The 17,794-nt window shown below is 50.7% G+C and overlaps 1 protein-coding gene across 1 annotated transcript in view, besides 3 other annotated features; it reads left to right on the top strand.

The window, feature by feature from the left end:
* ST3GAL2 (ST3 beta-galactoside alpha-2,3-sialyltransferase 2) overlaps positions 1–15,202 on the top strand; it is a 63,124-nt gene extending 47,922 nt beyond the window's left edge. The window contains exons 4-7 of the mRNA NM_006927.4: positions 2,633–2,812; positions 7,944–7,989; positions 8,255–8,374; positions 9,317–15,202. Coding sequence (NP_008858.1) covers positions 2,633–2,812; positions 7,944–7,989; positions 8,255–8,374; positions 9,317–9,490 — 520 coding nt within the window. The 3' untranslated portion in view covers positions 9,491–15,202. The remainder of the gene's footprint in view (positions 1–2,632; positions 2,813–7,943; positions 7,990–8,254; positions 8,375–9,316) is intronic.
* Positions 3,257–3,941: an enhancer, noted in NCBI's record as "H3K27ac hESC enhancer chr16:70421141-70421825 (GRCh37/hg19 assembly coordinates)". NCBI's record gives its function as "activates a minimal SCP1, AML or CMV promoter by ChIP-STARR-seq in naive H9 embryonic stem cells {active_cell/tissue: H9 hESC(naive)}" and the evidence as "EXISTENCE:reporter gene assay evidence [ECO:0000049][PMID:30033119]".
* Positions 9,658–9,717: an enhancer, noted in NCBI's record as "active region_11055". NCBI's record gives its function as "activates an Ori minimal core promoter by ATAC-STARR-seq in GM12878 lymphoblastoid cells {active_cell/tissue: GM12878}" and the evidence as "EXISTENCE:reporter gene assay evidence [ECO:0000049][PMID:35858748]".
* Positions 9,748–9,917: an enhancer, noted in NCBI's record as "active region_11054". NCBI's record gives its function as "activates an Ori minimal core promoter by ATAC-STARR-seq in GM12878 lymphoblastoid cells {active_cell/tissue: GM12878}" and the evidence as "EXISTENCE:reporter gene assay evidence [ECO:0000049][PMID:35858748]".
* Positions 15,203–17,794: the final 2,592 nt, after the last annotated feature.

Below are 17,794 nucleotides of genomic sequence, written 5' to 3'. Positions count from 1 at the left end.
GCACAGCCCATGGTCCTTCCCAGTCCCGTCCCTGAGGAAGACAGCTTGGGAGCCCCTGGAACACAGCAAGTCCTCACCCAGCCCAGCTAGCTGGTGCCAGCCACTCTAAGGACAGGGAATGTTTGTGCTGGTTTTACAGAACTGGCATAAAAAGCAAGGAGAGCCACCTAGAGACTGCGCTCCCTGCTTCCCTGGCTCCCTGTGTTCCTAGTGGAGGGCCAGGTTACGGTCACCCTGCTTTGGTAGTCATGATTCCACAAGGTGTGGTCCACGTGAGACAGGAATGTGCTTGTAAACAGTCATAACAGAAAAAAAAAGACCAACAGGTTTGTGTTTAAACCTGGTTCACCTGTTACGTAAGATGCATACTAAAAAGGGGAGCTTTGGTTTTTACTTGTCTTGTATTTTGCACAAATTGAAAGGAAGTGGAAGCCTTCTTGGCTTATTATAGCCACAGAGAAGGTTTCCAGACAGGAGCTACAGCAATGTCCCCTCTGTCCAGACAGCAGCAGGAGAGAGGGGACATTGCACATCACCAGAAAGATAGCAAGGGCAGACCGTCAGAACTTGGGGCATTTCTCTTGGCCTTGGAGTGGAAGGGCAGACAGGGTCTTAAAGCGGCAGACAGGAATAGGGTGGTAGTGGGTGGCAGGACAGAGGCTTCCATCCGGCCCAGGGCCTGAGGGAAGGCTTGAACTTCCTATCTTACTTTCACCATCTTATAGGAAGGAGGGCAGAACAGCCAAGTGAAGTGGAAGCTGCGGAAGGCTGTTCTTTATAAGTTGTTTCTTTAAAAAATTATAAAAGGCCAGGCCTGGTGTCATCTGCCTGTAGTTATGGCTACTCAGGAGGCTGAGGCAGGAGGGTTGCTTGAGTTCAGGAGATTGAGACCAGCCTGGACAACGCAGTGAGACCCCTATCTCTACAAAACAGAAAACAAAACAGGCGTGGTGATGCAGACCTGTGGTCCCAGCTACTCGGGAGGCTGAAGCTGGAGGATTGATTGAACCCAGGAGGTCGAGGCTGCAGTGAGCCATGATGGTGCCACTGCACTCCAGCCTGGGTGACAGAGTGAGACTTAAAAGACAAACAGGGCCGAGCGTGGTGGCTCACGCCTGTAATCCCAGCACTTTGGGAGACTGAGGTGGGCGGATCACGAGGTCAGGAGATCCAGACTATCCTGGCTAACACGGTGAAACCCTGTCTCTACTAAAAATGCAAACAATTAGCCGGGCGTGATGGCGGGCGCCTGTAGTCCCAGCTACTTGGGAGGCTGAGGCAGGAGAATGGCGTGAACCCAGGAGGCGGAGCTTCCAGTGAGCCGAGATTGTGACACTGCACTCCAGCCTGGGCGACAGAGCAAGACTCCGTCTCAAAAAACAAACAAACAAACAAAAAACCCAAACAAACAAAATGGCTGGGCTCGGTGGCTCACGCCTGTAATCCCAGCACTTTGGGAGGCCGAGGCCGGCGCATCACGAGGTCAGTAGATGGAGACCATCCTGGCTATCAGGGTGAAACCCCGTCTCTACTGAAAATACAAAAAATTAGCTGGACGTAGCGGCTAACGCCTGTAATCCCAGCTACTTGGGAGGCTGAGGCAGGAGAATCCCTTGAACCCAGGAGGTGGAGGTTGCAGTGAGGTGAGATTGCACCACTGGACTCCAGCCTGGGCGACAGGGCGATCCGTCTCAACCAAAAACTTAGCTGGGAATGCTGGCACATGTTGTAGTCCCGTCTACTGAGGAAGCTGAGGCAGGAGAATCGCTTGAACCTGGGAGGCGGAGGCGGGGATTGCAGTGAGCCGAGATAGCACCACTGCACTCCAGCCTGGGTGACAGAGTGAGACCTTGTCTCAAAACTAATAATAATTAAAAGTAAATAAATAAAAATGTATACAGTAAAAATGAGTTAAGCCCCCAATGTTAGTAACCTTTTTTTTTTTTTTTTTTTTTTTTTTTTTTTTTTTTTTTTTTGTAGAGATGGGGTTTCACCGTGGTCTCGATCTCCTGACCTCGTGATCCGCCCACCTCGGCCTCCCAAAGTGCTGGGATTACAGGTGTGAGCCACCGCGCCCGGCCAACCTTTTTTTTTTTTTTTTTTGGAGACAAGAGTCTTGTTCTGTCACCCAGGCTGGAGTGCGGTGGTGCGATGTCGGCTCACTGCAATCTCTGCCTCCAGGTTCAAACACATCACCTGCCTCAGTCTCCCAGGTTGCTGGGATTACAGGTACATGCCACCACGCCCAGCTAATTTTATATTTGTTTTTTTTTTTTTAGTAAAGATGGGGTTTTGCCATGTTGGCTAAGGCTGGTCTCGAACTCCTGACCTCAAAGCAGTCCATCCACCTTGGCCTCCCAAAGTGCCTGGATTACATGTGTGAGCCACCACACCTGGCCTGTTTGATTGATTCTGGTGTTACTATTGTAAATAATTCTGCAGTGAATATCCTCATACACATCTTTGCACACCTTTGTAACCATTTTTATAGGGCAGATTTCTAGCAATGGAATTGCTAGGTTGGAGTATACACCCGTTTGCATTTTTGATGGATGGCTTCGAACTGTCCTCTAAGAATCTTGTATCAGTTTCCATGGCAGTTGATTCTCATGTCACCCTCTTGTCCCTGCAGGATGAATCAGGCGCCAACCGTGGGCTTTGAGCAGGATGTTGGCAGCCGAACCACCCACCATTTCATGTACCCTGAGAGTGCCAAGAACCTGCCCGCCAACGTCAGCTTCGTGCTGGTGCCCTTCAAGGTCCTGGACCTTCTGTGGATCGCCAGCGCCTTGTCCACGGGGCAGATCCGATTGTGAGCTTCTTGCTGGCCTGGGTAGAATATGGGTGACAGGACCATCTTGGGCAGAGTCTTCTAGGGGCCAGATTGTAGGATTCCTTTCATTGAACATTTTGGCCAAGAGGGGCTGGTGAGAAGGGAGGGCCTAAGTTGGTGGGTGAGCTGAAGGCACAGCTTGCTCTGTGTCACCTCCTGTGTGGTGACACAGCATATTGATGGTGGAAAGATGAGGAAGGATCTGTTTTTTTGTTTGTTTTTTTTTTTTTTTGGAGACAGAATTTCGCTCTTGTTGCCCAGGCCGGGGTGCAATGGCGCGATCTTGGCTCACTGCAACATCCGCCTCCCGGGTTCAAGCGATTCTCTTGCCTCAGCCTCCTGAGTAGCTGGGATTATAGGGATGCACCACCACGCCCGGCTAATTTTGTATTTTAGTAGAGACAGGTTTCTTCATGTTGGTCAGGCTGATCTGGAACTCCTGACCTCAGATGATCCAGCTACCTCGGGCTCCCAAAGTGCTGGGATTATAGGTGTGAGCCACCGCACCCGGCCAGACCATCTGGTTTTGGTCTCCTTTCTGGGTGATGGCTCCTGACTGAGGGAGCTCTGCCTTCTGAGGACTTTCTTTGGGGGTAGTTGTCCCATCATAGCCGGGAACCATGGGAAATCTAGTTCACCAAGTATATTTTTTAACAGCTTTATCAAGATATGATTCATATCCCATACATCTCACCTATTTAATGTGTATAATCCAGTAACTTCTTATATATTCAGAGTTGTATAACCATGACTACAATTAATTTTAATTTTTTTTAATTTTATTTTTTTTTGAGATGGAGTCTCACTCTCTTACCCAGGTTGGAGTGCAGTGGCGCAATCTTGGCTCACTGAAACCTCTACCTCCCGAGTTTAAGAGATTCTCGTGCCTCAGCCTCCCGAGTAGCTGGGATTACAGGCACATGTCACCATGCCTGGCTAATTTTTGTATTTTTAGTAGAGACGGTGTTTTGCCATGCTGGCCAGGCTGGTCTCAAACTCCTGACATCAAGTGATCCACCTGCCTCAGGCTCCCATCGTGTTGAGATTACAGGCATGAGCCACCACATCCGGCCCACAATTAATTTCTTTTGAAACGGAGTCTCATTCCGTTGCCCAGACTGGAGTGCAGTGGCAGAATCTCAGCTCACTGTAACCTCCGCCTCCCAGGTTCAAGTGATTATCCTGCCTCGGCCTTCTGAGTAGCTGGGATCACAGGCATGTGTCACCACAGACCTGGCTAATTTTTGTATTTTTAGTAGAGATGGGGTTTCGCTATGTTGGCCAGGCTGGTCTCAAACTTCTGAGCTCAGATGATCTGCTCACCTTGGCCTCCCGAAGTGCTGGGATTATACGGCATGAGCCACCACACCCGGCCCCACAATTAATTTTAAAACATTTTCATGGCCGGGCACTGCGGCTCACGCATGTAATCCCAGCACCTTGGGAGGCCAAGGCGGGTGGATCACAAGGTCAGGAGTTAGAGACCAGCCTGGCCAACATGGTGAAACCTCATCTGTACTAAAAATAAAACAATTAGCTAGGCGTGGTGGCATGCGCCTGTAATCTCAGCTACTCAGGACGCTGAGACAGGAGAATCGCTTGAGCTCAGGAGGTGGAGGTTGCAGTGAGCCAAGACCACACCATTGCACTCTAGCCTGGGCAACAAGAGCAAAACTCTGTCTCAAAAAAAATAAAAAATAAAAATTTTTGGCCGGGCATGGTGGTTCATGCCTGTAATCCCAGCCCTTTGGGAGGCCGATGTGGGCGATCATGAGGTCAAGAGATCAAGACCATCCTGGCCAACATGGTGAAACCTTGTCTCTACTAAAAATACAAAAATTAGCTGGGTGTGGCCGGCCAGGCGTGGTGAGTCACGCCTGTAATCCTAGCACTTTGAGAGACCAGGCGGGCGGATCACAAGGTAAGGAGATGGAGACCATCCTGGCTAACACCGTGAAACCCCATCTCTACTAAAAAATAATAAAAAAAAATTAGCCGGCCGTGGTGGCAGGCACCTGTAGTCCCAGCTACTGGGGAGGCTGAGGCAGGAGAATGGCGTGAACCCGGGAGGCGGAGCTTGCAGTGAGCCGAGATCGCGCCACTGCACTCCAGCCTGGGTGACAGAGCGAGACTCCGTCTCAGGAAGAAAAAAAAAAAACTAGCTGGGTGTGGTGGCGCACGTCTGTAGTCCCAGCTACTTGGGAGGCTGAGGCAGGAGAATCGCTCGAACCTGGGAGGCAGAGGTTACAGTGAGACGAGATTGTGCCACTGCATTCAAGCCTGACGACAGAGATTCCGTCTCAAAAAAACAAAACAAAACAAAAAAAATTTTCATGTTCTGCCGGGTGCAGTGGCTCACACCTGTAATCCCAGCACTCTAGGAGGCCAAGGAGGGTAGATTGTTTGAGTCCAAGAGTTTGAGACCACCTTGGGCAACATGGCGAAACTCTGTCTCTGCAAAAAATACAAAAATTAGCCAGACATGGTGGCATGCTCCTGTAGTCCTAGCCACTCAAGGATGAGGTGGGAGGATCGGATCACTTGAACCCGGGAGGCAGAGGTTGCAGTGAGCTCAGATCGCGCCACTGCACTCCAGCCTGGGCAACAAAGCAGGGCTCTGCCTCAAAAAAAAAAAAAAAAAAAAAAAGAACCAAAAAAGGAACATTTTCATGTTCTAAGGGTCTTTAATCTAAAGATACCCCCGGATCCCTAAGCCATCACCCCCACTCCTCCCACCCCGAGCCCTAGGCAACCATTAATCTACTCTGTCTCACCATATATTTTTGTTGTGTGGTAAAATATACACAATATAACATTTGCCATTTTAACTATTTTTAAGTGTAAAGCTCAGTAACATTAAGTATATTCACATTATTGTATAGCCATCACCACTCTCCATTTCCAGAACGTTTTCATTATCCCAAATGGAAACTGTACACCTTAAACACTAACTCTCCATTCTCCCCTCAACCCCAGGTAACCTTATTCTACTTTCTGTCTCTATGATTTAACTATTCTTTTTTGTTTGTTTGTTTGTTTGTTTGTTTTTGGAGACAGAGTCTCACTCTGTCACCCAGGCTGGAGTGCAATGGCGCCTTCTCGGCTCACTGCAACCTGGGTTCAAGCGATTCTCCTGCCTCAGCCTCCCGAGTAGCTGAGACTACAGGCAAGCACCACCACGCCCAGCTGATTTTTTGTATTTTTAGTAGAGACGGGGTTTCACCGTGTTAGCTAGGATGGTCTCGATCTCCTGACCTTGTGATCTGCCCGCCTCAGCCTCCCAAAGTGCTGGGATTACAGGCAGGAGCCACCGCACCCGGCCTGTTTGTTTGTTTTTGAGCCTGAGTCTTGCTCTGTTGCCCAGCATGTAGTGCAATGGCATGATCTTGGCTCACTGCAACCTCTGCCTCCTGGGTTCAAGCGATTCTCGTGCCTCAGCCTCCCGAGTAGCTGGGACTACAGGCATGGGCCACCATACCCGGCTAATTTTTGTATTTTTAGTACAGATGGCCAGGCTGGTGTTGAACCCCTGACCTCAGGTGATCGGCCCAACTTGGCCTCTCAAAGTGCTGGGATTACAGGCATGAGCCACCACACCCAGCCTGATTTGACTATTGTGTTTTTTTTTTTTTTTTTTTTTGAGACAGAGTTTCGCTCTGTCGCCAGGCTGGAGTACAGTGTGGCACAATGTCGGCTCACTGCAACCTCAGACTCCCTGGTCCAAGCGATTCTCCTGCCTCAGTCTCCCAAGTAGCTGGGACTACAGGCGTGTGCCACCACACCCAGCTAATTTTTGTATTTTTAGTAGAGACAGGGTTTTACCATGTTGGCCAGGATGGTCTCCATCTCTTGACCTTGTGATCTGGCCCCCTCGGCCTCCCAAAGTGCTGGGATTACAGGCGTGAGCCACCGCACCCGGCCCTGATTTGACTATTCTTTATGCCTCATGTAAGTGGGATCATAACAGTATTTGTCCTTTTGTCTGACTTACTTTACTTAGCATAATGTCCTCATAGTTCATCCGTGTTGTAGCATGTGTCAGAATTTCCTGTGTTTTTTTTAAAGGCTGAATACTATGCCAATGTAGGGATATACCCATTTTGTTTATCCGTTTATCCTTCAAGGATGCTTGGTTTGTGTTCTACCTTTTGGGTATCATCACCATGTATTTTATAAACACAAAAGTAATGAGTTACAGTTTCCTGACTTAGGATGTTCATTATCTCATGTTTGGGAGACCTGAGGGCTAAAATGGATGCAGTAGAGTTGAAGTACCATAGACACTCAGAGAAGGGCATGTAGGTTACGGGGGCCGTGGCTGGCTACAGGGAGGTGTGGTCTGGGAAGCCTGAGGGGAGTGGATCGAGGGCAGGGGTGAGAGCAGAGACATGGTGGATTTGAGATGATTGCCACCTCTAATGGAGCAGAGAGCTAGGGGAGGAAGGTTGGGGCTGGTCTAGGGAAGGCCCCATCGCTTGCTGAAAACATTCCCATTTTATCTTGGATGCCATGGGGACCGTTGAAGGCTTTAGAGTAAGGCATGGCAATGATGAACAAGCCACGGGAGAGCAGTCCAGAAGCAGAGCAGTCTGGAAGTTGTGGGGCTGACATTGCTCAGGCCTGGCGTGGGGGGCATCCCTAGGTCCCATGGGGCCACCTGAAATGTTATCTTTTCTTCCTTTCCTTTCTCCTTTCCTTTCTCCTTTCCCTTCTTTTCCTTTCTCCTTTCCCTTCCTTCCCTTTCCCTTCCCCTCCCCACCCCTCTCCTTTCCTTTCCTTTCCTTTCCTTTTTTTTTTTGACAGTCTCACTCTGTCACCCAGGCTGGAGTGCAGTGGTGTGATCTCGGCGCACTGAAACCTCAGCCTCCCAAGTAGCTGGGATAACAGCTGTGCTCCACCACACCCAGCTAATTTTTGTTTTTTTAGTAGAGATGGGGTTTCACTATGTTGGTCAGGCTGGCCTCAAACTCCTGGCCTCAGGTGATCCGGCTGGCCTCGAACTCCTGGCCTCAGGTGATCCACCTGCCTCAGCCTCCCAAAGTGCTGGGATTACAGGTGTGAGCCACCGTGCCCAGCCTGAAATGTTATCTTTCTTTCTTTTTGCTTACAGCACCTACGCCCCAGTGAAGTCCTTCCTTCGAGTGGATAAAGAAAAGGTAAGCTCCCCACTTCTTCCCCACCTCAGTGGAAACAGTGCTGGCCCAGCCTGTGTGCCTGGTCCTGTAGCTCAGGTGTTCCATTTCCCCTGCAGAACCTCAGGGTCCCCATCTGCCGAGATGCCTGACCCTAGCAGGTGCCACACGATTCAGGAGACACAGACGCACAGGTCTCTGACAGGCATAGACAAGTAGAAGCTGCTCAGTCTAGCCTGAATCTCTGCCCCTAAACCCCTCATATACCTGTCATCCCTTCTCCTCCCAGGTCCAGATCTACAACCCAGCCTTCTTCAAGTATATCCACGACAGGTGGACAGAGCATCACGGGCGGTACCCTTCCACGGGGATGCTGGTGCTTTTCTTTGCCCTGCATGTGTGTGATGAGGTGGGTAGGCCCGTGGTGTGGGTGGTGGGAACCCATGGAACAGAGGAGTGCAGGCCTTCTCGGGTCTTAGCAGGCTAACAGAGGAATGTGCTTCTGTAGGCAGAATCCATGTGGCCTTGGTTTCCCCCATCTCTAGGCTGTAAAGTATAGATATGCCTTTCCCAAACGTTTCTGCTTTCATGATTCTACCAAATCCAAAATCTCTTCATTAAAAAGTTATTGGCCGTGCGCGGTGGCTGACGCCTGTAATCCCAGCACTTTGGGAAGCTGAGGCGGGCGGATTACTTGAGGTCAGGAGTTCAAGACCAGCCTGGCCAACATGGTGAAGCCCCATCTCTACTAAAAGTACAAAAAATTAGCCAGGCGTGTTGGGGCACGCCTGTAATCTTAGCTACTCGGGAGGCTGAGTCAGGAAAATCGCTTGAACCCAGGAGGCGTAGGTTGCAGTGAGCCGAGATAGCGGCATTGCACTCCAGCCTGGGCGACAGAATGAGACGCTGTCTTGAAAAAGAAAAGAAAAAAAAACATAAATAGAATGGAGAGTGTATGTAGTTGAATTTCAGCTGGACGACTGCCCCCACCAGCTCTGAGCCCCAGGCCTACTTCGTGTAAAAATGGAACTCAGTCGTTCAGAGAACCCGTTCCACCAGTGGCCAGGGCTGCCTTGCAATGAAGAGCAGGGCTGAGGCCCGGCAAGTGCTTCACTGAGTGGTGCTGATCAAAGTACTCCATTAAAAAAAAAAAAAAAAAAAAGGAGGAATTTGCAAGGGCTGCAAAGGGAAGGTGGTGTCCCCATGTGAGTCCATGTCCTTAGGCCAGGCCTGGGGGCTCCTGCATCTCCCCGGGGCCTCCCGTCCCCTCTCCTCCCTGTCATCCCGAGCCCGCCCCGCGCCATCCTCCAGGTCCCCGCCTGGGGTGACGCTCCGCTGCGCTTCCCCGCAGGTGAACGTGTACGGGTTCGGGGCCGACAGCCGGGGCAACTGGCACCACTACTGGGAGAACAACCGGTACGCGGGCGAGTTCCGGAAGACTGGCGTGCACGACGCGGACTTCGAGGCCCACATCATCGACATGCTGGCCAAGGCCAGCAAGATCGAAGTCTACCGGGGCAACTGAGCCGGGCCTCGCCGCGACCCTTCCGGCCCATCTATCGGGCACCGGGGCTCCGGCCCGGGACCCAGGACCAGCAACCCGCGACCAATCATGCTGCAGCCCAGGGGCGTCTGCTGTGCCCCGCCAATCACGAGACTGGGGGACCGGCCGGGCCTGGCACCAATCTGCGCTGCGGTCGGGCGGAGCTTCTGTTTCTCCCAGCCAATCATGTGACTCAAGGAAAACTTCCGGCGCTGTGTCCAGTCTCCTCCAATCAATGGCCTTCGGGGGCGGGCCAGCGGCCGCTCAATCCCCACTCCCTCATGCTTTGGGTTAGGGTTTTCTTTCACGCTTTCTGAGGAGGAGAGCATGGCGCGGGCCTCGGCGAAGCACTTCCGTCAGCCTCGGGCGGAGGATCGTCTTAGTAGCTGGCCAGACCTGGAGGAGAGCGGGCGGTCTTTGCGGGCCTCAGGAGATAGGTGGCCGCCCGGCCCCTTTCCCCGCCTGCCCGGATAGGTGCGTGCAGACCCACCAAAGAAAAGCGGTCGCTGCGGGACCCCCAGTCCCACCTCGGCCGCGCTGTGGGATGGCTGCGCCCCCAGGGCTTCCTGCGTCTCCAGGAAGCCGGGAGTGGCGCCCTCTGCGGGGTGGGGTGCTCCCGGGCCGAACTCCGGACAGGTGGAGGGGACAGGGCAGAGCTCGAGGAAGCCCTGTCCCCTTCAGTGCAAGGTGCTGTCACTCACGTGTGCCCTCGACCCTCCCGTTCACCCGCAGCCTTCTCAGCGCCTCTCCCTGGGCCGGAGGCCTCCTCACCAGCCTACCTGTTGCTCTGGAAAAAAATCCCGTCCCCCGACTCCGTCCCTACCCCCAGTCTTCGGCCGGCTCTGGCCCCTGGGGAGGGGGCTGCACGGCGGAAGGAGGCTGGCTATGGGCCCGGCTGCCCGCTGCATGTACCTCCTCCTCCACCCATCGCCTCTTGCCTGGGGGTAACTTTGCCTGGGGCTCATTCTTTGGTTAAGCTGAAGCTGCCGTGGGTGGCCAAACCGCAGATTCTTTGCAAATTCTGAGCTGGCAGAGCTCGCAGCCGGGAGCCGGCCGGGGAAGAGGAGACTTGCGCGCCGCAAGCCGCCTGCCTCCACCCTGCTCTCCATCTCCCGCTCTAGAAGGGCTGGGAAGCTCGCGGCCGGGGTTCCACCTGGAAGCTGCTTGCATGGCTGAACCCAGCTTAGGTCCCTGACGGGGCTGCTGGTGGAATTCTCCCCCTTCGAAGCTGGGGAGGTTTAGGAGGGGGAAGGCTTCTGTGAAGCTCTCAAACCACTAATAGAGCCCCCTCCCCAACAGTGACGGCGCAGATGCTCCCCCTTTTCTTAGTTGACACCACCAGGCAGCTTCCTGGCCGTTGGTAGGTTCCTGCAGCTGGCTGAGGGAACAGGGACCGGCAGGGGACTTTGTTAGGGGAGGGTTGGGATGGGCAGTGGGCCCCTGAAAGTTAATATATTGGAACCTAGCTCGAGTGTCGTTCTTTCCAATTCCGAAAGTAGAAAGAGTAAAAATAGGGGTGATTGGGGTGGGGTTAGTAGAATGCCTCTCTCAGGGCGCTCCCCCCTCCCCCACCGTTTTAGAGAGCTAGGCCTCAGCCAGTCTTGCCACTCCCATCTCAGTGCTTCCTGAAGAGGCTGTTTTGAGTGTTGATGAAAAGCAATGCAATTATGCCAAACAGTATTGAGCAGAATAATTTATTTCTTTTTTTTCTTTTGCTTTAAATCATGAATCCCGCCAGGTACGGTGGCTCACACCTGTCATCCCAGCACTTTGGGAGGCCAAGGCGGGCGGATTACTTAATACTTAAGGTCAGGAGTTCGAGACCAGCCTGGCCAATATGGTGAAACCTCGTCTCTACCAAAAAAAAAAAAAAATACAAAAATTAGCCAGGCGCAGTGGTGCGCACCTGTAATCCCAGCTACTTGGAAGGCTGAGGCAGGAGAATCCCTTGAACCGAGGAGGCGAAGGTTGCAGTGAGCCGAGATTGTGCCACTGCACTCCAGCCTGGGCGACAGAGCAAGACCCTGTCTCAAAAAAATTAAATCATGAATCCCCATCCTGGAAGAGGTAGGTCCCAGCATCCAGCCAGATTTTCTGCAATAGTAATTTAAACACACTTTTTTATTTCCTTCCCTTTCTGAATTAAAAGGAACAAAAAACTGTCTAGTCCTTCATTGTTCTGAAATGGGCATGATGGAAGAAGGCGGGTCTGGTAGGATAGCTGTGACTGATAATGGCTGAGAACGTTGGGGGATATGGGAGGGGCGAGATGACTCCCAGATACCCTCCCCCACCTATACAGGAGGCACCTCATTCCTGGACTCTGCGCTCCAAGACACTGAAATCTGAGCGGGTACAAGCATTTTGGTTAAAAATCAGCTCGTTGTCGCCTCTTGAGTTTCCTCCAGGAGAGGAGTTCATTGGAGAGGATTCCTGGTAGCAGCTCCTCGCAGTGGCTGTCCTGTAACCACTTTGGCCTCTGTCAACATGATGTCTCCAGGTATCCATCAGGCTCCGATACATTTGGGTGGCCACAGGCTGGGCTGTCCCCACCTCTCAGGGAAGTGCATCTAAGTCAGGTTTTCCCCTCTGGCACAGCCCTGCCTCCACAGCCCAATTTCCACCATGCCACAGGCAACCCGCATTTTTATTTATTTAATTTATTTATTTATTGAGACAGAGTCTTGTTCTGTTACCCAGGCTGGAGTGCAATGGCCCGATGTCGGCTCATCCCAACCTCCACCTCCTGGGTTCAAGCGATTCTTCTGCCTCAGGAGAGTAGGGAGTAGCTGGGATTACAGGCATGCACCACCACTCCCGGATAATTTTATATTTTTAGTAGAGACGGGTTTTCTCCATGTTGGTCAGGCTAGTCTTGAACTCCAGACCTCAGGTGATCTGCCCGCCTCGGCCTCCCAAAGTGCTGGGATTACAGGCGTGAGCCAGTGTGCCTGGCCGATTTTTTTTTTTTGAGACTGATTCTCACTCTCGCCCAGGCTGGAGTGCAGTGGTGGGATCTCGGCTCATTGCAAGCTCCGCCTCCCGGGTTCACGCCATTCTCCTGCCTCAGTCTCCCGAGTAGCTGAGACTACAGGTGACCGCCACGATGCCCGGCAGTTTTTTTGTATTTTTAGTAGAGACGGGGTTTCACTGTTAGCCAGGATGGTCTCCATCTCCTGACCTCGTGATCTCCCCGCCTCAGCCTCCCAAAGTGCTGGGATTACAGGCGTGAGCCACCGCGCCTGGCTTTTTTTTTTTTTTTTTTTTGAGATGGAGTCTTGCTCTGTCACCCAGGCTGGAGTGCAGTGGCGCGATCTTGGCTCACTGCAACCTCCGCCTCCCAAGTTCACCCACCTCAACCTCCCGAGTAGCTGGAATTACAGGGGTGTGCCACCACACCCAGCTAATTTTTGTATTTTTAGTAGAGACGGGGTTTCACCATGTTGGCCAGGCTGGTCTCGAACTCCTGACCACAGGTCATCCACCCCCTTTGGCCTCCCAATGTTTGACCACACCCAGCCCATAATAGATTTTTAAAACTCCTATAAATATCATTCTACTTCCCTTTATTGCTAAAATGGGAGCTTTTTCATCCAGTTTTTTGGGTGTGTTCCAAATATTTTGTTAAATTTCCCGTCTATTGCTGTTATTGTTTCCATTTATTTGCCCATGTGAGTTGATACCTTTTTCATTCCTTTCCCATAGCTTTAGTGACGTTGTGGGAAGGGAAGTTAGGTAAGTGATGTTTCATCTTGTACTTACTAGACACCTTTTTCTTCCTTGATTTCCTGAGTTCCCTGCCTCCACAGGTGTGTTTCACTCCTGGTTGCTTATATTTTTTTATTTTTGAGATGGAGTTTTGCTCTGTTGACCAGGCTGGAGTGCAGTGGCATGATCTCGGCTCACTGCAACCTGTGCCTCCTGGGTTCAAGCGATTCTCCTGCCTCAGCCACCCAAATAGCTGGGATTACAGATGCGCACCACCATGCCCAGCTAATTTTTGTATTTTTAGTAGAGACGGGGTTTCACCATGTTGGCCAGGCTGGTCTTGAACTCCTGACCTCGTGATCTGCCCACCTTGGCCTCCCAAGGTGCTGGCATTACAGGTGTGAGCCACCGTGCCCGGCCTCTGGTTGCTTATTTAACCCCTTTGTCACGATGGAGGCTTTTCTCTTTTTTTTTTTTTTTTTTCAGATGGAGTCTCTCTCCATTGCCCAGGCTGGAATGCAGTGGTGCTATGTCCGCTCACTGCAAGCTCCGCCTCCCGGGTTCACACCATTCTCCTGTCTCAGCCTCCTGAGTAGCTGGGATTACAGGCATGCACTACCACGCCCGGCTAATTTTGTATTTTTAGTAGAGACGGGGTTTCTCCATGTTGGTCAGGCTGGTCTTGAACTCCTGACGTCAGGTGATCCGCCTGCCTTGGCCTCCCAAATGGTAGGATTACAGGCGTGAGCCACCAGACCCTTTTTTTTTTTTTTTTTTTTTTTTTAAGAGACAGGGTCTCCTGTCGCCCAGACTGGTGCAGAGCTCACTGCAGCCTCAAAAACTCCTGGATTCAAGTGATCCTCCCACCTCAGCCTCCAGAGCAGCTAGAGCCTAGCTAAAAAATTTTTTAAAAACATTTTATGGCCAGGCACGGTGGCTCATGCCTATAATCCCAGCATTTTGGGAGGCTGAGGCAGGTGAATCACGAGGTCAGGAGTTCAAGACCAGCCTGGCCAAGATGGTGAAACCCCGTCTCTACTAAAAATACAAAAAATTGGCCAGGCTTAGTGGCAGACGGCTGTGATCCCAGCTACTCGGGAGACCGAGGCAGAGAATTGCTTGAACCTGGGAGGTGGAAGTTGTGGTGAGCCGAGATTGAGCCACTGCACTCCAGCCTGAGCGACAGAGTAAGACTCCGTCTCAAAAAAAAAAAAGTATTTTACCCATCCACAGGCAGCAGACAAGGAAGTACCTTCTGTGACTGTCTGGCAAGGTCAGAGGCATCAGGGAAGGTAAAATACTGAAACTATATTTTTAAAAATAAAAGTATTCCCTTTTGAGTGTGAATTAGGAATCAATGCCCCTTCTCACTACTTTTGTGAAAAAAATCACAGCTCCTGCAGCAAGTCTATGCCTGGGTAACAACCAACCCACAAAATCCAAGAGGAGGTCCCCCTCTCCCGCCTCTGTGAGGCTTGAGGAGCAGTATGTATCTGGGCCAGCCTGGTCCTCAGAGTGTGGAATTAACACCTTTCCTCTAGCAACTGTTTGTGCTGCTGAGAACAGCACAGACTCTCTGGCAGCCTGGTTCTCTCCAGAGGGAAGCCTGTGAAGCAGAAGAAACATATGGCATCTGCACTCAGGGCGCCCAGTTCCATCCGGCCTTGCTATAAAATGACTTTGCCTTTCCTTTTTTAAAATTACAAAAATAATTCAACCAATACATAAACATATGAAGTGAATCACGGAGGGCCTTCCTGCGATATCTTTTTTTGCCTACCATTTGTCATGGAATGGGTAAAGGGGACCACAGAGGGAAGAGACGCTGCCCCTTCGCAGGGCCATGGCAGTCCCCTGGGCTGCGTCTCCACGGTGCTTCCTGTGAAACGCTGTTACCACGGGCACCGCACTGGAGACCATGAAAGGGAAGAGTTTGACATCTCAGCTGTCTTTGCTATAAATAGAAATAAATAAACCTTAACTAAGGCTTGAGTACACTTAGGCCGGGCAAGGTGGCTCACACCTGTAACCCCAGCACTTTGGGAGGCCAAGGTGGGTGGGTCATGAGGTCAGGAGTTTGAGACCAGCCTGGTCAACATGGTGAAACCCTGTCTCCACTAAAAATACAAAAAATCAGCTGGGTGTGGTGGCAGGTGCCTGTAGTCCCAGCTACTCAAGAGGCTGAGGCAGGAGAATCACTTGAACTCAGGAGGCAGAGGTTGCAGTGAGTCGAGATCAAGCCACTGGAGTCCAGCCGGGGCAACAGAGCGAGACTCCATCTCAAAACAAAAAACAAAAAAAAATTTTTTTATCAGTCACCTTAACCAAATGATCAAGGTACATCACCAGTCTAATACTAATAAAAACTCTGTACATGATTGAATAAATTAATCAGTGGGGGAGAAGAGAGAATTCTCCCTTGCAGAGGAGTTGAATAATTAATGTAGGTAGCTACTCTGCCCTTAAGGAGAGCATGTAACTTCCTTGAGGTGTGGGCTGCATGTACATAATGACTTCCTTTCAAAGAGTAGGATACAGGCCAGGGCTCAGCACAGTGGCTCATGCCTGTAATCCCAGCACTTTGGGAGGCCAAGGTGGGCGGTTCGCTTGAGGTTGGGAGTTCAAGACCAGACTGACCAACATAGAGAAACCCCATCTCTACTAAAATACAAAATTAGCCCAGTGTGGTGGCAAATGCCTGTAATCCCACTTGGGAGGCTGACGCAGGAGAATCGCTTGAGCTGGAGAGGCAGAGGTTGCAGTAAGCCAAAACCGTACCATTGCACTCCAGCCCGGGCAACAAGAGCAAAATTCCATCTCAATAATAATAATAATAATGTAGTGAGACAAGAATGGGCAGCTCCCCAACAGAAAAGATTTTCTAAGAAACTTAATGTTTGCCAAGCCTCACTAAATCAAAATCAAACAATGACATAATCTGTTTTTGCCACTTAGACTGGCAAAGTTTTAAACATTGATAATACTGTTGGCAAGCACGTAATTTTTGTATCACAGTAACATAAATTGGTAAAAACCTTTGGCAAGTGTAAATGACAATGAATTAAAATTTTAAATGTCCCTACTCTTTGACCCAACAATTCTACTTCCAGGAATAATATCCTGAAGTGATTTTCACCAACGCTCAAAAATAAGAATAAGGTTGGGCATGATGGCTCATGCCTGTAATCCCAGCACTTTGGGAGGCCCAGGCGGGCAGATTACTTAAGCTCAGGAGTTCAAAACCAGCCTCGGTAACATGGTGAGACCCCATCTCTACAAAAAAAAATACAAAAATTAGCCGGGTGTGGTGGTGCAGGCCTGTAGTCCCATCTACTTGGAGGGGTGAGGCAGGAGGGTCACTTGAGACTGGGTCGAGGCTGCAGTGAACCGAGATCATCATGCCACTGTATTCCAGCCTGGGTGACAAAGTGAGAGCTGGTCTCAAAAAAAAAAAAAAGAGAACAAAGATGTTCAGTTTGGGTCAAGGGCTCATGCCTGTAATCCCAACTACTTAGGAGGTTGAGGTAGGAGGATCAATTTAGCCCAGGAGTTTGAGACTGGACTGGGCAACTTAGTGAGACCCCATCGCTACAAAAATAAATAAGCAATAAATCTTTTTTAAAAAGATGTTCAGGCCAGGCACAGTAGCTCACGCCTGTAATCCCAGCACTTTTGGAGACCGAGGTGGGCGGATCACGAGGTCAGGAGTTTGAGACTAGTCTGACCAACATGGTGAAACCCCGTCTCTACTAAAAATACGAAAATTAGCTGGGTGCGGTGGCATGTGCCTGTAATCCCAGCTACTCAGGAGGCTGAGGCAGGAGAATCGCTTGAACCCAGGAGGTGGAGGTTGCAGTGAGCTGAGATCACGCCACGGAATTCCAGCCTGGGCGACAGAGTGAGACTCCGTCTCAAAAAAAAAAAAAAAAAAATGTTCGGCCAGGCGTGATGGCACCCACCTATAATCCTAGCACTTTGGGAGGCCGACAGAGGTAGGCAGACCACTTGAGGTCAGTTCGAGACCAGCCTGGCCAACATGGCAAAACCCCATCTCTACAGAAAATATAAAGATTAGCTGGGCATGCTGGCATGTGCCTGTAATCCCAGCTACTTGGGAGGCTGAGGCAAGAGAACTGCTTGAAGCTGGGAGGCAGAGGTTGCAGTGGGCCGAGATCACGCCTCTGTACTCCGGGCCAGAGTGACACTCTGTCTCAAAAAAAGAAAAAAAAAATGTTCATTGTGGTACTGTGGATAACAGCCATGTACTAGAAATCCCCCATGCCTGTCACTAGAGGAACCAGGAGATAAATGCCGGGACAGCTACACGCAGAAAGGAAGGTGGATGGTGTTTCCAGGGCAAGGAAGATGTGTGTGTATTGGACATGTCAACATGTCTAACACATGCTGATCAGTGAAAGCAGGTTGCATAGTAGTGTGAACAGAATGTTCCTGTTTTTGTAAAAGAAAAATGGGTTTATGCAAATAAAAGGCAATATGGTAGAATATTCACCAAGCTGCCAGGAATCAGGATCCCAGAAGAGAAGGGATAGAGAGCACTCTCACTTTATATACACACAC

The sequence above is a fragment of the Homo sapiens genome, chromosome 16, assembly GCF_000001405.40.
Source record: "Homo sapiens chromosome 16, GRCh38.p14 Primary Assembly".
Lineage (NCBI taxonomy): Eukaryota > Metazoa > Chordata > Mammalia > Primates > Hominidae > Homo > Homo sapiens.
Note: the sequence above shows the minus strand (reverse complement) of the source record. Positions and strands in the feature narration are given on the sequence as shown.